The 16,128-nt window shown below is 36.7% G+C and overlaps 1 protein-coding gene across 13 annotated transcripts in view; it reads left to right on the top strand.

Annotated features, from left to right (window-relative positions):
- The window catches only part of GLMN (glomulin, FKBP associated protein), a 124,443-nt gene extending 108,835 nt beyond the window's left edge, over positions 1–15,608 (top strand). For all 13 annotated transcript variants that reach the window (NR_135089.2, XM_011540546.3, XM_047442822.1 and 10 more), the window contains 3 exons: positions 14,021–14,132; positions 14,866–14,948; positions 15,364–15,608. Coding sequence is in view for 12 of the 13 variants with exons in the window: in XM_011540546.3 (XP_011538848.1) it covers positions 14,021–14,132; positions 14,866–14,948; positions 15,364–15,480 (312 nt within the window). In the remaining variant the exon portion in view is untranslated. The remainder of the gene's footprint in view (positions 1–14,020; positions 14,133–14,865; positions 14,949–15,363) is intronic.

Genomic DNA, 16,128 nt, shown 5'->3' with positions numbered 1-16,128 from the left:
ATTGACTAGTGCTTACTCTGTATCAGGTGCTATTTTTTTTTAACATTTTGTTGTGAAACTTTTCAAATGTACAGCAAAGTTGAAAGAATTTTATAGTGATCATTGGTTTACCCACCACCTAGAGTCTATGATTCTACTGTACTAACTTCATCATGTATCTATCACTCCACCCTCTGTCTATCACTCCGTCAGTCTATTTTTTGATGTATTTCAAAGTAAACTGCAGACGTCAGCATACTTTCTCCGAAATATTTCAGCATGTATTTCATTACATTGATTAAATATTTGTCTGTAGTTTTTCTTTGAAGTAAAATTTACATAATGAAATGTTCAAATTTTAAGTGTATATTCACTGAATTTTAACTAATACATAGATCTATATTACTCAAACCCATATCAATATAGAACATTTCCAGCATCACAAGAGGTTCCTCATACCCCTTCCTAGTTAATTCTGACCTCGTTGTGCTACTCACCCCTGCCAGGGACAACCACTATTCTGCCCAAGTGCTGTATATCATTCATTCTTCAGAGAGCGTCTCGTTCTCTTGCCCAGGCTGGATTACAGTGGTACAATCATGGCTCACTGCAGCCTCGACCTCCTGGGCTCAAGAGATCCTCCCACCTCGGCCTCCCAAAGTGCTGGGGTAACTTCCAGGCATGGGCCACCATGGAAAACCAAGAAAAGTACTCTTTATTTTTCACTTTTCATAGATAATGTAGGTGAAAAAAGTTCATTAACTTGCACAAGGGCAAACATCTGGAAAGTGGTAGAAATAGCTATGACCCCAGGCAGTGGCCAGAACTTTCTAAATCACAAACTAAATCCTGATTCCTGAAGGAGCTTGTGATAAAAATTGAAAAGCTACAATATAAAATTCAGCAGCAGTAGAGGCCCTGAGACTTCAGGAAGGTGGCCTTAGGGTAGGGTATGAGTTTTTATTTTTTTAGTAATCAAGAAAGGCTGTACCTACTTGAGAGATTATCTGACTTGCCTGACAAAAAGAAAAGGAATCTTGTTGATTAGGATTGATAGGTGTGTTAGATATGGAACACAGAGTAATACAAAGGCAGCAGATTGGTCTCTGCTTAGAGAGGGAAGACCTGAGAGCAGTTTAGCATTGTGCAATGTCTGCTATACTATCCATAGATAATTCCTCACTTTTGTTTGTCATGTACATTTTATGGTGAAGAAAAGGATACAGCCAGCCTATAGGACTGCCTTTTTTTTTTTTTTTTTTTTTCCATCTCAAAGAGACAGTGTCTCACTGTATTGCCCAGGCTGGAGTACAGTGGCAGTCATGGCTCACTGCTGCCTCAAACTCCCCAGCTCAAACAATCCTCCCACGTCAGCCTCCCAAAGTGCTGGGATTACAGGCACTTCTTTTTTTTCTTGAGATGGAGTCTCACTCTGTCGCCCAGGCTGGAGTGCAGTGGCACGATCTCTGCTCACTGCATCGTCCACCTCCTGGGTTCAAATGATTCTCCTGCCTCAGTCTCCCGAGTAGCTGGGACTACAGCCAGGCACCACCACACCAGCTAATTTTTGTATTTTTACTAGAGATGGGGTTTCATCATGTTGCCCAGGCTGGTCTCAAACTTCTGACCTCAAGTGATCCTCTCTCCTCAGCCTCCCAAAGTGCTGGGATTACAGGTGTGTGCCACCACACCCAGCCAACAGGCATCTCTCATTTAATGGTTTTTAATAATTTTTCTAAGGGATCAAATATTCTAAATTATTGCTTTATAAGTTACCATAAGAATTATACCAGGGAAATTAGCAAAAACCCAGTCCAAGCTGGCAGCCTCACATCTTTTAGGCGCTTAAAAGCCTGTCTATCTTGAAAACATTTCTCCTGAGTGCAATGACAATAGGTCGTGTCAATAACTGAGAGGCAAATATGTCTACTGTGGTTAATAAAAAATGACACTTCCTGAGTTTTTGGAAGATTTTGGTTAAAGAAAAAACAAAATGGGCTGGGCGTGGTGGCTCACACCTGTAATCCCAGCTCTTTGGAAGGCCAAGGCGGGCGGTTCATGAAGTCAGGAGATCAAGACCATCCTGGCTAACACAGTGAAACCCCGTCTCTACTAAAAATACAAACAAAATTAGCCAGGCATGGTGGCGGGTGCCTATAGTTCCAGCTACTCGGGAGGCTGAGGCAGGAGAATGGCGTGAACCGGGAGGCGGAGCTTGCAGTGAGCCGAGATCATGCCACTGCACTCCCCACTGGGTGACAGAGCAAGAGTCTGTCTCAAAAAAAAAAAAAAAAAAAAGAAAGAAAAAAAAGAAAAAACAAAATGATGGTCTGGTGATGCTGAAATATGGGGCATTTTATTCAAAAGGACTCCTACCAGTACCTATTTTTGAGCACTTAAGTGTGCTAAGAGGGTAATTAGTCAGATGAAAAGCAGACACACAGTCAGAAATATGAACAGGAAGATTAAGAAGAGAATCACATTCAAATACAAAGACAACAAAGTGATTCATAATTGAGTAATAATCCATTTCTTTTCTTGCTATTTTGGGTTACTGTCAACTGACTTATTCTCTTCGTAAGCCCTCCTTCCTCACCCTACTATTTCATGCCTCTTGTATCTCCTTGGTTAAGTTTCAGGCACCTTCTCTTACTCTTGAATTTCATATAACTTTTCTTGAATATTATAGTACAAACATGCTCCCATCTTTACTGGTAAAACCAACTTAGTTTTTATACCAAATATTATCTATTTAATAGATATTTAATAGAGTATCTTTAAATAATTATTAGTTGTTTCGAATTACAATAATTTATTCTAATACATATCCAATAATCATGTTATCCCTTACCTTCTGTCCTGTGTACTCATATCCTTTCCCATCCATCTGTTTACTCATCTTTTTTTCTAAAAAGTTTGTAATTATAGTATGTAGAATGAAAGCTGGGACAAGGGAAACAATGAGATGGCAAAGGCCACAGGTAAATATCAGGAATTTTAAAATTGAATTGCTTAGTCTGTGTGAGTGTGCTTTTCATTTAGGAAAAAACTGTATCTTGTATAATAAATACACATACACAAAATTCTATATAATCCATATTTTGGGTGCTCATTTAAGTTTTGGTTTTTTTTCAATACTTTTAAGTTCTGGGATACATGTGCAGAACGTGCAGGTTTGTTACATAGGTATACACGTGCCATGGTGGTTTGCTGTACCCATCAACTCACCATCTATATTAGGTATTTCTCCTAATACCCCTCCCCTAGCCCCCGAACCCTGACAGGCCCCGGTGTGTGATGTTCCCCATCCTGTGTCCATGTGTTCAAATTGTTCAACTCCTACTTATGAGTGAGAACATGTGGTGTTTGGTTTTCTGTTCCTGTGTTAGTTTGCTGAGAATGATGGTTTCCAGCTTCATCCGTGTCCCTGCAAAGGACATGAACTCATCCTTTTTTATGGCTGCACAGTATTCCATGATATATATGTGCCACATTTTCTTAATCCAGTCTATCATTGATGGGCATTTGGGTTGGTTCCAAGTCTTTGCTATTGTGAATAGTGCTGCAGTAAACATACATGTGCATGTGTCTTTATAGTAGAATGATTTATAATCTTTTGGGTATATACCCAGTAATGGGATTGCTGGGTCAAATGGTATTTCTGGTTCTAGATCCTTGAGGAATCGCCACACTGTCTTCCACAATGGTTGAACTAATTTAGACTCCCACCAACAGTGTAAAAGCGTTCCTATTTCTCCACATCCTCTCCAGCATCTGTTGTTTCCTGACTTTTTAATGATCGCCATTCTAACTGGCATGAGATGGTATCTCATTGTGGTTTTGATTTGCATTTCTCTAATGACCAGTGATGAGCTTTTTTTCATGTTTGTTGGCTGCATAAATATCTTCTTTTGAGAAGTGTCTGTTCATATCCTTTGCCCACTTTTTGATGGGTTTTTTTTTCTTATAAATTTGTTTAAGTTCCTTGTAGATTCTGGATATTAGCCCTTTGTCAGATGGATAGATTGCAAAAATTTTCTCCCATTCTGTAGGTTGCCTGTTTACTCTGATGATAGTTTCTTTTGTTGTGCAGAAGCTCTTTAGTTTAATTAGATCCCATTTGTCCATTTTGGCTTTTGTTGCCATTTCTTTTGGTGTTTTAGTCATGAAGTCTTTGCCCATGTCTATGTCCTGAATGGTATTGCCTAGGTTTTCTTCTAGGGTTTTTATGGTTTTGGGTTTTTATGGTTTTAGATTTTATGTTTAAGTCTTTAATCCATGTCAAGTTAATTTTTGTATAGGGGGTAAGGAAGGAGTCCAATTTCAGTTTTCTGCATATGGCTAGCCAGTTTTCCCAGCACCATTTATTAAATAGGGAATCCTTTCCCCATTTCTTGTTTTTGTCAGGTTTGTCAAAGATCAGATGGTTGTAGATGTGTGGCGTTATTTCTGAGGCCTCTGTTCTGTTCCATTGATCTATGTATCTGTTTTGGTACCAGTACCATGCTGTCTTGGTTACTTTAGCCCTGTAGTATAGTTTGAAGTCAGGTAGCATGATGCCTCCAGCTTTGTTCTTTTTGCTTAGGATTGTCCTGGCTATCCGGACACTTTTTGGTTCTATATGAAATTTAAAGTAGTTTTTTCTAATTTTGTGAAGAAAGTCAGTGGTAGCTTGATGGGGATAGCATTGAATCTATAAATTACTTTGGGCGGTATGGCCATTTTCACAATATTGATTCTTCCTACCGATGAGCATGGAATGTTTTTCCATTTGTGTCCTCTCTTATTTCTTTGAGTGGTGGTTTGTAGTTCTCCTTGAAGAGGTCTTTCACATCCCTTGCAAGTTGGATTCTTAGGTATTTTATTCTCTTTGTAGCAATTGTGAATGGGAGTTCACTCATGATTTGGCTCTCTGTTTATTATTGGTGTATAGGAATGCTTGTGATTTTTGCACATTGATTTTGTATCCTGAGACTTTGCCAAAGTTGCTTATCAGCTTAAGGAGATTTTGCACTGGGATGATGGGGTTTTCTAAATATACAATCACGTTATCTGCAAACAGAGACAATTTGACCTCCTTTCTTCCTATTTGAATACGCTTTATTTCTTTCTCTTGCCTGATTGCCCTGAGCAGAACTTCCAATACTATGTTGAATAGGAGTGGTGAGAGAGGGCATCCCTGTCTTGTGCCAGTTTTCAAAGGGAATGCTTCCAGTTTTTGCCCATTCAGTATGATATTGGCTGTGGGTTTGTCATAAATAGCTCTTATTATTTTGAGATACGTTCCATCAATACCTAGTTTATTGAGAGTTTTTAGCATGAAGGGCTGTTGAATTTTATCCAAGGCCTTTTCTGCATCTGTTGAGATAATCATGTGGTTTTTGTCATTGGTTCTGTTTATGGAATGGATTACGTTTATTGATTTGTGTATGTTGAACCAGCCTTGAATCACAGGGATGAAGCCAACTTGATCATGGTGGATAAGCTTTTTGATGTGCTGCTATATTTGGTTTGCCAGTATTTTATTAAGGATTTTTGCATTGATGTTCATCAGGGATATTGGCCTGAAATTTTCTTTTTTTTGTTGTGTCTCTGCCAGGTTTTGGTATCAGGATGATGCTGGCCTCATAAAATGAGTTAGGGAGGAGTCCCTCTTTTTCTATTGTTTGGAAAAGTTTCAGAAGGAATGGTACCACCTCCTCTTTGTACCTCTGGTAGAATGCGGCTGTGAATCTGTCTGGTCCTGGGCTTTTTTTTTTATTGTAGGCTATTAATTACTGCCTCAATTTCAGAACTTATTATTGGTCTATTCAGGGATTCGACTTCTTCCTGGTTTAGTCTTGGGAGGGTGTGTATGTCCAGGAATTTATCCATTTTTTTTCTAGATTTTCTAGTTAATTTGCATAGAGGTGTTTATAGTATTCTCTGATGGTAGTTTGTATTTCTGTGGGATCAGTGGTGATATACCCTTTATCAATTTTTATTGTGTCTATTTGATTCTTCTCTCTTTATTAGTCTGGCTAGTGGTCTGTTTTGTTAGTCTTTTCAAAAAAGCAGCTTCTGGATTCACTGATTTTTTTTGAAGGGTTTTTTGCGTCTCTATCTCCAGTTGTGCTCTGATCTTAGTTGTTTCTTGTCTTCTGCTAGCTTTTGAATTTGTTTGCTTTTGCCTCTCTATTTCTTTTAATTGTGATGTTAGGTCGTCGATTTTAGATCTTTCCCACTTTCTCCTTTGGGCATTTAGTGCTAAAAATTTCCCTCTAAACACTGCTTTAGCTGTGTCCAAGAGATTCTGGTATGTTGTGTCTTTGTTCCCATTGGTTGCAAAGAACTTATTTATTTCTGCCTTAATTTCGTTATTTACCCAGTAGTCATTCAGGAGCAGGTTGTTCAGTTTCCATGTAGTTCTGTGGTTTTGAGTGAGTTTCTTAATCCTGAGTTCTACTTTGATTGCACTGTGGTCTAAGAGACAGTTTGTTACAATTTCTGTTCTTTTGCATTTGCTGAGGAGGGAGTGTTTTACTTCCAATTATGTGGTCAATTTTAGAATAAGTGCTGTGTGGTGCTGAGAAGAATGTATCTTCTGTTGATTTGGGGTGGAGAGTTCTGTAGATGTCTGTTAGGTCTGCTTGGTCCAGAGCTGAGTTGAAATCCTGAATATCGTTGTTAATTTTCTGTCTTGTTGATCTGTCTGATATTGACAGTGGAGTCTTAAAGTCTCCCACTATTATTGTGTGGGAGTCTAAGTCTCTGTAGGTCTCTAAGAGCTTGCTTTATGAATCTGGGTGTTTCTGTATTGGCTTTATATATATTTAAGATAGTTAGCTCTTCTTGTTGCATTGATCCCTTTACCATTATGTAATGCCCTTCTTTGTCTTTTTTGATCTTTGATGGTTTAAAGTCTGTTTTATCAGACACTAGGACTGCAACCTCTGCTTTTTTTTTTTCTTTCCGTTTGCTTGGTAAATAATCCTTCATCCCTTTATTTTGAGCCTATGTGTGTCTTTTCACATGAGATGGGTCTCCTGAATACAGCACACTGATGGGTCTTGACTCTTTATTCAATTTGCCAGTCTGTGCTTTTTAATTGGGGCATTTAGCCCATTTACATTTAAAGTTAATATCGTTATCTGTGAATTTGATCCTGTCATTATGCTAGCTGGTTATTTTGCCAATTAGTTATGCAGTTTCTTCATAGTGTCGATGGTCTTTACATTTTGGGTTGTTCTTGCAGTAGCTGGTACTGGTTTTTCCTTTCCATATTTAGTGCTTCCTTCAGGAGCTCTTGTAAGGCAGGCCTGGTGGTGACAAAAATCTCTCAGCATTTCCTTGTCTGTAAAGGATTTTATTTCTCCTTCACTTATGAAGCTTAATCTGGCTGGATATGAAATTCTGGGTTGAAAATTCTTTTTTTTAAGATATTGGCCCCCACTGTCTTCTGGCTTCTAGGGTTTCTGCAGAGAGAACCGCTGTTAGTCTGATGGGCTTCCCGTTGTGGGTAACCCAGCCTTTCTCTCTGGCTGCACTTAACATTTTTTCCTTCATTTCAACCTTGGTGAATCTGATGATTATGTGTCTTGGGGTTGCTCTTCCCGAGGAGTATCTTTGTGGTGTTCTCTGTATTTTCTGAATTTGACTGTTGGCCTGTCTTCCTAGGTTGGGAAGTTCTCCTGGATAATACCCTGAAGTGTGTTTTCCACCTTGGTTCCATTGTCCCCATCACTTTCAGGTACACCAGTCAAACATAGGTTTGGTCTTTTCACATAGTCCCATATTTCTTGGAAGCTTTGTTCATTCCTTTTCATTCTTTTTTTCTCTAATCTTGTCTTCACACTTTATTTCATTAAGTTGATCTTCAATCTCTGATATTCTTTCTTCCACTTGATCGATTCAGCTATTGATACTTGCATATGCTTCACGAAGTTCTTGTGCTGTGTTTTTCAGCTCCATCAGGTCATTTATGTTCTTCTCTAAACTGCTTATTCTAGTTGGCAATTACTCTAACCTTTTATCAAGGTTCTTAGCTCCTTGCATTGGGTTAGAACATGCTCCTTTAGCTTGGAGGAGTTTGTTATTACTCAACTTCTGAAGCCTACTTCTGTCAGTTCATCAAACTCATTCTCTGTCCAGTTTTGTTCCCTTGCTGGCAAGGAGTTGTGATCCTTTGGAGAAGAGGTGTTCGTGTGCTTGGAATTTTCAGCCCTTTTCCGCTGCTTTTTCCTCGTCTTCGTGGATTTCTACCTTTGGTCTTTGCTGTTGGTGACCTTTGGGTGGAGTTTTTGCTTGGGTCATCCTTTTTGTTGACGTTAATGCTATTGCTTTGTGTTTGTTAGTTTTCCTTCTAACAGTCAGGCCCCTCTTCTGCAGGTCTGCTGCAGTTTGCTGGGGGTCCACTCCAGACCCTGTTTGCCCGGGTATCACCATTGGAGGCTGCAGAACAGCAAAGATTGCTGCCTGCTCCTTCCTCTGGAAGCTTCATCCCAGAGGGGCACCCGCCAGATGCCAGCCGGAGCTCTCCTGTATGAGGTGGCTGTTGACCCCTGCTGGGAGGTGTCTCCCTATCAGGAAGCACGAGGGGTCAGGGACCCATTTGAGGAAGCAGTCTGTCCCTTAGCAGAGCTCAAGCGCTGTGCTGAGAGATCTGCTGCTCTCTTCAGAGCTGGCAGGCAGGAATGTTTGTCTGCTGAAGCTGCACCCACAGCCACCCTTTCCCCAAGGTGCTCTGTCCCAGGGAGATGGAAGTTTTATCTATAAGCCCCTGACTGGAGCTGCTGCCTTTCTTTCAGAGATGCCCTGCCCAGAGAGAGGAGGAATCTAGAGCTTAAGTTTTTTTTCAATTTCCATTTCTATTTAAGATTCAGGGGTGCAGGTTTGGTACAGGGGCATATTGTGTAAGTTGTTTCTTTCTCTAAGATAAAACATATCCATGAAATATTTGCAGAGCCGGATGACTTCTATATGAATTAGAAGAAAGGGGAAACCTGGGTCTTGTTCATGGCTTTTTATTTCTTCATTACCATCACTGACTGTATTCTTTGCAGGGTTCCTGACTGTTCTGGCAATAAATTTCATTGTAGTGTAGAACTGCCTAGTCTTCCTTTTGTGAGAGAGATATGCTACAGTGAATTTTGAAATGTATAGTTTTAAGCCTTAGAACTGGAAATCAGTAAGCCTCCTTGGGTATGAAATTAAAAGCAGGTATTTGTGAACATTTCAAATTTTTAATTATAACTATTTTAAAACTCTTAATTTACTTTTTCTAGACACTGAAAGATTTTAAGAAATCTTAAAATGTGATTTTCTTTGTAGTATTTATTATTTCTTTAAAAACGATCTGGTAACCTTGAGAGAAAAAATATTCTTATTCTCACAGCTTCTTCACTCCTACATGCTTCTAAAAATATTACAGTTTATCATCTGAAAAATTTGTGGAATTATGCTGAACAGAATATGTAAAAAATTTCTTTAGGCTACTTTTGGCATGTGTTTTTATTACCTGAAGTTTTATGATTATGGGCTATTGCCATTGAAAACAGCTAAGGTTTTAACATTCAAAGATCTAGATTTGCACTGTCCAATACAGTAGACAGTAGACACATGTGACTATTTAAATTTATATTAATTTTTTTTTCCTTTTGAGTTGGGGTCTCACTCTATAGCCCAGGCTGGAGTGCAGTGGCGCAATCACGGCACATTGCAATAACAACCTCCTGTACTCAGGTGATCCTCCCATCTGGGATTACAGGCATGAGCTACTGCGCTGGGCCAGTACTCTTTATTAATATGTGATTATTTCCATTTGAGAAATTTGAAACATTAAAAGAAAACGTTTGGTTAGAGATACATTTGCTTTTTAAAGTCCTGATTTAGTAATTTGGTTAAAATTTTTGGCTGAAGAGAATTAGTGAAGCTTAATTGTATATTTGTACCAATGAATGATTATAAAACTTTATCACTGTAATCCCAGCACTTTGGGAGGCTGAGGCGGGCAGATCACCTGAGGTTAGGAGTTAGAGACCAGCCAGTCCAACATGGCGAAACCCCATCTCTACTAAAACTACAAAAAAATTAGCTGGGCATGGTGGCAGACGCTTATAATCCCAGCTACTCTGGAGGCTGAGGCAGGAGAATTGCTTGAACCCAGTAGGTGGAGGCTGCAGTGAGCTCAGATCATGCCTCTGCACTCCAGCCTGGGCAACAGAGCAAGAAGACACCATCTTAAAAAAAAAAAAAAAAGTTTTGGGAATCAGATTTAAAAGAATTTCCATTACAAAGTAAAACTGAAAGGATGAAAGAAAAAAATTTTCAACTTAGAACTTCTACAAGAGGAAAGTTTTTCATGGATACAAATTCTTTGGTTATATTTTTGCAAATATTCCAGTCTGTGGCTTGTGTTTTAATAGTATTTTTCAAAGAACAGAAATTTTAATATTTATGGAGTCCAACTTATCAATTTTATTCTTTTATGATTCATTATTTATGGGTTCTAAGAAGTCTTTGTTAACCCAGATCACAAAGGTAATTTCTTGTAGAAATTGTATAGTTTTAGGTTTTACACTTAGGTCAATGACCCCATTTCAAGTAAACTTTTTATGATATGAGATATGGGTTGAGAGATTTTTTTTTCTTTTATTTTGACCTCAACACTATTTGTAGAAAAGGTTATCCTTAATTTACTGAATTATCTTGGCAACTTTATCAAAAATCATTTTATAAGTATGGGTCTATTTTTGGACTCTATTCCATTTACCTGTATCTATTCTTTTACCAATACCACACTGTCTTGATTCCTTTATAGGAAGAAATTATTCTGTTTTATTCCTTTATAGGAAGTCTTGACCTCAAGTAATGTGAGTCTGCCAACTTTGTTCTTCTTTTTCAAAATTGTATTGGCTATTTTTAAATCCTTTACCTTTTCTGTATAAATTTTAGAATTTTGTCAATTTCTGCCACAAAGAGTTTTAATTCCACTTATGGCATTCTGGAAAAGGCAAAAATTACCTTAACAAAAATCAGATTGCTGGTTGCTGGAGGTGGGAGGAAACTGACTACAAAGGGGCACAAAGAAATTTCTGGGTCATGGGAATATCTTTACAGCAGCAGTGGTTACATGACTTTATATCACTATATATCTTTGTCAAAGCTCAGAATTGTATAGCTAGAAGGTTATATTTTACTGTATGTAAACAATATCTCAACAAACCTGACTTTGAAAAATAATAAAAAGAAAAGAACTAGGCTCAATAGTGAATTAGACTGAAATTACCTCATGAACAGGCAAGCACACTGATTATGTAAAAATCTTTCTGATGTTTACTTTTGAATTGTTTATTCTCCATTTTTCTACATTAAAGTATTAAGATTAAATGTGTTATATGGAAAGGATTTGAGGGAAAACTTTTATTTCAACTATATAAATAAACGTGTGAGTTGTGATGTAAAACCTAGTTTTTACTGAGAGTCATGGCAAAAATAATTTGAAAAACAGTATCCTAGAAAAACTTTTACCCCGTGTGAATGGGAAAACATACAGCAATGTAAATGCTGCATTATTTTGAAATACTAAAAACTTAGGATAAATTCCATATAATGGAATGCTTATGCACCAATTAAAATTAGAGCTACAACACAAATAACTCTCAAAAACATAAGATTGACAAAGAAAAAGGAAGCTGAAGCAGGTTATATACAGTATACCATTTATGTGCTTTTAAACATGAAAAATTATATTGTTTAAGTGATACATTAGGAATGCAAAACATTCAAGTTTTAGATAATGGCTACCTCTTGAATAAAGGGGATTTCAGCCATATCTAGTATTTATTTTTTAAAAGTAAATATGATAAAATGTTTCCTTTTGTCAAAGGTTTCCTTTTGTCAAAGCTAGGTGTTTTCCCTATACTCTTTATGTTCAAATGTGCTTTAGTGGGTAACAGAGAGTCATCAGTAACCTAGTCTTGAAAGCCATCAGTTGCAGTGGGTTCTGCCTATAAACCCAGAGGTGAATGCAAAGTAAAAAGAAAAAAAAAAAGTTGGGGGGCAGGGAATAAATGGTGAAGAAAAGGCTGGACGTAAAAAGGAATAAAAGCCTGTTATTTGCAGCAACGTGGATGGACCTACATGTCATTACATTGAAATATGCCAGGCCCAGAAAGACAGTATCACATATTCTCACATGTGTGAGCTAACAAACTTGATCTCGTGGATACAGAATATAGAATGATTGATTGATACCAGAGTGTGAGCATGGGAGGAGGAAATGTAGAGCAACTGGTGAATGGGTACAAAAAGAGTTAGATAAAAGACAAGCTGTATTGCTTGATAGCACATTACAGTGACTATAATTAGCAACAATATATTGTATATTTCAATGTAGCTAGGAGAGAGGACAGGAAATGTTACCAACCCATAGAAATGATGAATACTCAAGAGGATGGATACCCCAAATACTCTGACATTATTATACATTTTATACGTGTAACAAATACATGTACCCATAAATATGTAAAATATCATGTATCAGTAAAAGAAAAAGGCTGGATAGAGAGAGGTAAAAATAGGAGAAATGAGAGCAGTCAGTGCACATAAGAGTAATATGCTTGTTATACTGTGTGGCTACACTGGTTAAGGAAATTCCTGCTGCATATAACCCAAATTTGCCATTAGAGGTTAAGAAAACTTTCCACTTAACAATTTAAAAATTATACAACTAAAACATCCATTATTTAAAAATCAACATAAAGAAGCAAAAAAAAAAAAAAAAGAATAGTAATCAAAATTACACCGTTGTTGATATACTGTATTCCCTTCTAGGTTTTGGGTTAATACGTCTGTACATTTTTTCTTTTTTAAAAAGAAAATGAGATCATACTAAAAGAATCACACTGTTTTATAACCTTTTTTCCCATTCACCAATATGTACTGAAAAACAGTATTTTAATGGCTGTATAGTTTTTCCATTATGTTAATATGTCATAATTTACTATGAATCTCCTGTTGAGTTATTTTAATTCTAATGTTTCACTAAACATTTTTAAAAAACATCTGCAGTAGAATCATAACATACATCTTTATTTCCCCAAGATAAGTTGATAGATGCTAAGTGAAAAGGTATGCATATTTTTGAGGGTTTTAGATCCTCTCTAGTATTCTACTTTTCCTATTAGTATAGGATAAATAAGACAAGATGACTGAAATGAAAAGGATAGGTGTGAGACATTAATATTATCAATTATTCAGCATAGACATGTGTAGATTTTATTTGGAATGCTGCAAGTAACATGTACTACTTGGGTCAAAATAAGCTCATTACAAAATAGGTTATCAAGTAGTTCATTATTCTAGTTAAGAATAAATTGGGTCCCTACGTTTCCCTTTTTGACCTAAGACATTTTCCTTTGTAAAGAGTACTTGGAAACTGGAAGTACCAATGGATTTTCTTTTCTCTATTTTTTAAAATAAAGACTTCATGAGTCCTCTCCATTAGTACTGTAAGAGAAAATGCTCTTGGAATAAACTCTAAGATACATGACAAAATAAGCTGCCCTCAACAGATAAAATCTTCACCTACTTTGGTCACCAGGGAGGTTCAAATTAGCCGGGTATTAGAAAAGTTTCCATCAGTAGGAAAGGGAAAGCATCCTCTAGAACTAGATCCGTGGTGTGGATATCAATTGAAAGGCCATACTTGGGATGAAGGCATAAATAAGGTAGAGTCATTGTGGAGATGGCTCATAGAGGAAGAGACGTCTGTGAATTTATCCTCAAATAATTTTCTCATAAATAAAACTTAACAAGTTAATAGATCTCAAAACCTGGAGCTATCCAAATGGTGCAGTGATAAGCGTAGTGCCCCAAGTACATTTTTCTTTTAATTGGTATTCACATAACTAGCTATAGTAATAATTATTAAATAGTGAAGTCCATTGTGAAAAGCAAGGGCCATGTTTCATTTATTTTTGTTTTTTGAGCTTTTATCGCGTTTAATAGTAGGCAATCAATCATTGTTGAACTAAATAACTCATTCTTTCATTCTTAACAGACTGGATTATGGACAGAACTTGGAAATATTGAGAATAATTTCTTAAAGCCACTTCATATAGGACTTAATATGTCAAAAGCACATTATGAAGCAGAAATTAAAAATAGCCAAGGTTGGTAATGTGCAATTTTGTTTTCAATTAGGTCTAAAAAGTAGTCTAATTTTGGAACTGTCATATTCAAATTTAAGAACTTTTTAAAAATCTTGTACTTTAGAGACCATAACAGCTAAGCCATTTTATTTATAGTTAAAATTCTTAGCAGATCTATAAGCTAATTTACCTAAAATCGGGTTAATGAAGACTTAAACCAAATATTACATTGTAAAGCCTCAAGGTCTGATTAAGAATCTGTATTACAGCTATTTCCGTTTGGGTACCATTCCTTTGGTATTGCTGGGTCCACTCTCCATCTCACTCTCAAGTAAATCCATACAAATTATGAAAAGAATCTTAGATCCAGAATTTTTTTAAGTCAATAATTCTATAATAATCGTGTGATCTCTTCCGTATATCTGTGGTGGTGCTTTTATAGGCATTACCGGAAATTTTGTTTTTAGTATAATGGCTATAATTCTGATTATATACTGAAGAAAACAGTTTCATGAATCCTATACATGCCAAAATAATGCTATTTATCTAAAGAAGCATTAATTTACATGTTGCAGAATTTTGATATTTCATTCTGTTTGCTTATAGCTTAAGTATACCCTGAGCTGTTAAACAATGGACTTAATAATTTATACAAATAACTGACATGTTTTAAGTTAGTGAATGAAAGTAGCTTATACCTTTGTTATTGAAATCTGAGAGTTAAGTGTCACACATGATTTTTCTTCTCTTACAGAGGCCCAGAAATCTAAAGATCTTTGTTCTATAACTGTAAGTGGAGAAGAGATCCCTAATATGCCTCCTGAAATGCAGCTTAAGGTGATCTGAAATTTTCTTTTCTTTCCTTTTTCTTCTTTAGAAACGGGGTCTTGCTATCTTGCCCAAGCTGGAGTGCAGTGGCATGATTGTGGCTCACTGCAGCTTCAACTCCCTGGGCTCAAGTGATCCACCCACCTCAGATTCCTGATTAGCCAGGACTGCAGGTGCACACCACCATGCCTGGCTAATTTTTAGTAGAGATAGGGTCTCACTATGTTGCTCAGGCTGGTCTCCAACTCCTGGCCTCTAGTAATCCTCTCAGCTCAGCCTCCCAAAGCACAGGAATTACAGGTGCAAACCACTGTACCTGGTCTTAAATATTCCTAAGCTACCTCCAGCTGAAATCTTTTCTGTGTTTTGCTTTGTTTTGCTTTAAAGGCAGCATTAATAACATTACTTTTTCTTGGCATTGCAGGTCCTGCATTCAGCTCTTTTCACATTTGATTTGATTGAAAGTGTTCTAGCTCGAGTGGAAGAACTCATTGAAATAAAAACAAAGTCTACCTCTGAAGAAAATATTGGGATAAAGTGAAAGTTCCATTTCCTAAATAAAAACTAATAAAATATAGTACTTTCCATTATGATTCATTTAATACCTTTATAAAAAATTTTTCTGTAAAAATTTACTGCTTGAAAAATAAATGTAGCTTTTCTCATTTATCAATTTCTATAATGATACACTATAGAACAGGTTTTTTTGGTTTTAAAGTTATCTAATGGTAAATAATGCCCACATATGTCCTAAATACTACTTTTGAAAATCCAATACAAACTAATAATTTTATAACTTCATAAAATGTAGCTGAATTGTCTATATTCATTCCTACAGTTTTAGTGAGCTTATAAAAATACTGATACACTTTCTGCTGCAGTTAGATGCTATGTAACATTTCGGAACTCCTAGTGTCAAGTTGGCTATCATACCAGTGTAAAGAGGCCAGTTGACTTTTCTTAGCTTCTCTTTTCCTGGCTCAGGTGGAGTCTTTGGGAGCAGAGTCCCATCACCACCTCTCCAGCAGAAGTTATAATAGGAAAACATCTGCAAAGATTAATTTTAGAAATACTTGCTACCTTTATGGAAAAAAACTAAAAAATATATATGACTTTAAGAAACTGATTAGAAAATTCTGTATTTTTATTTCCTACTAAAGATTTGTCCATTTAACTCACTAAGAAGCTA

This window comes from Homo sapiens, chromosome 1 (genome assembly GCF_000001405.40).
Source record: "Homo sapiens chromosome 1, GRCh38.p14 Primary Assembly".
Lineage (NCBI taxonomy): Eukaryota > Metazoa > Chordata > Mammalia > Primates > Hominidae > Homo > Homo sapiens.
Note: the sequence above shows the minus strand (reverse complement) of the source record. Positions and strands in the feature narration are given on the sequence as shown.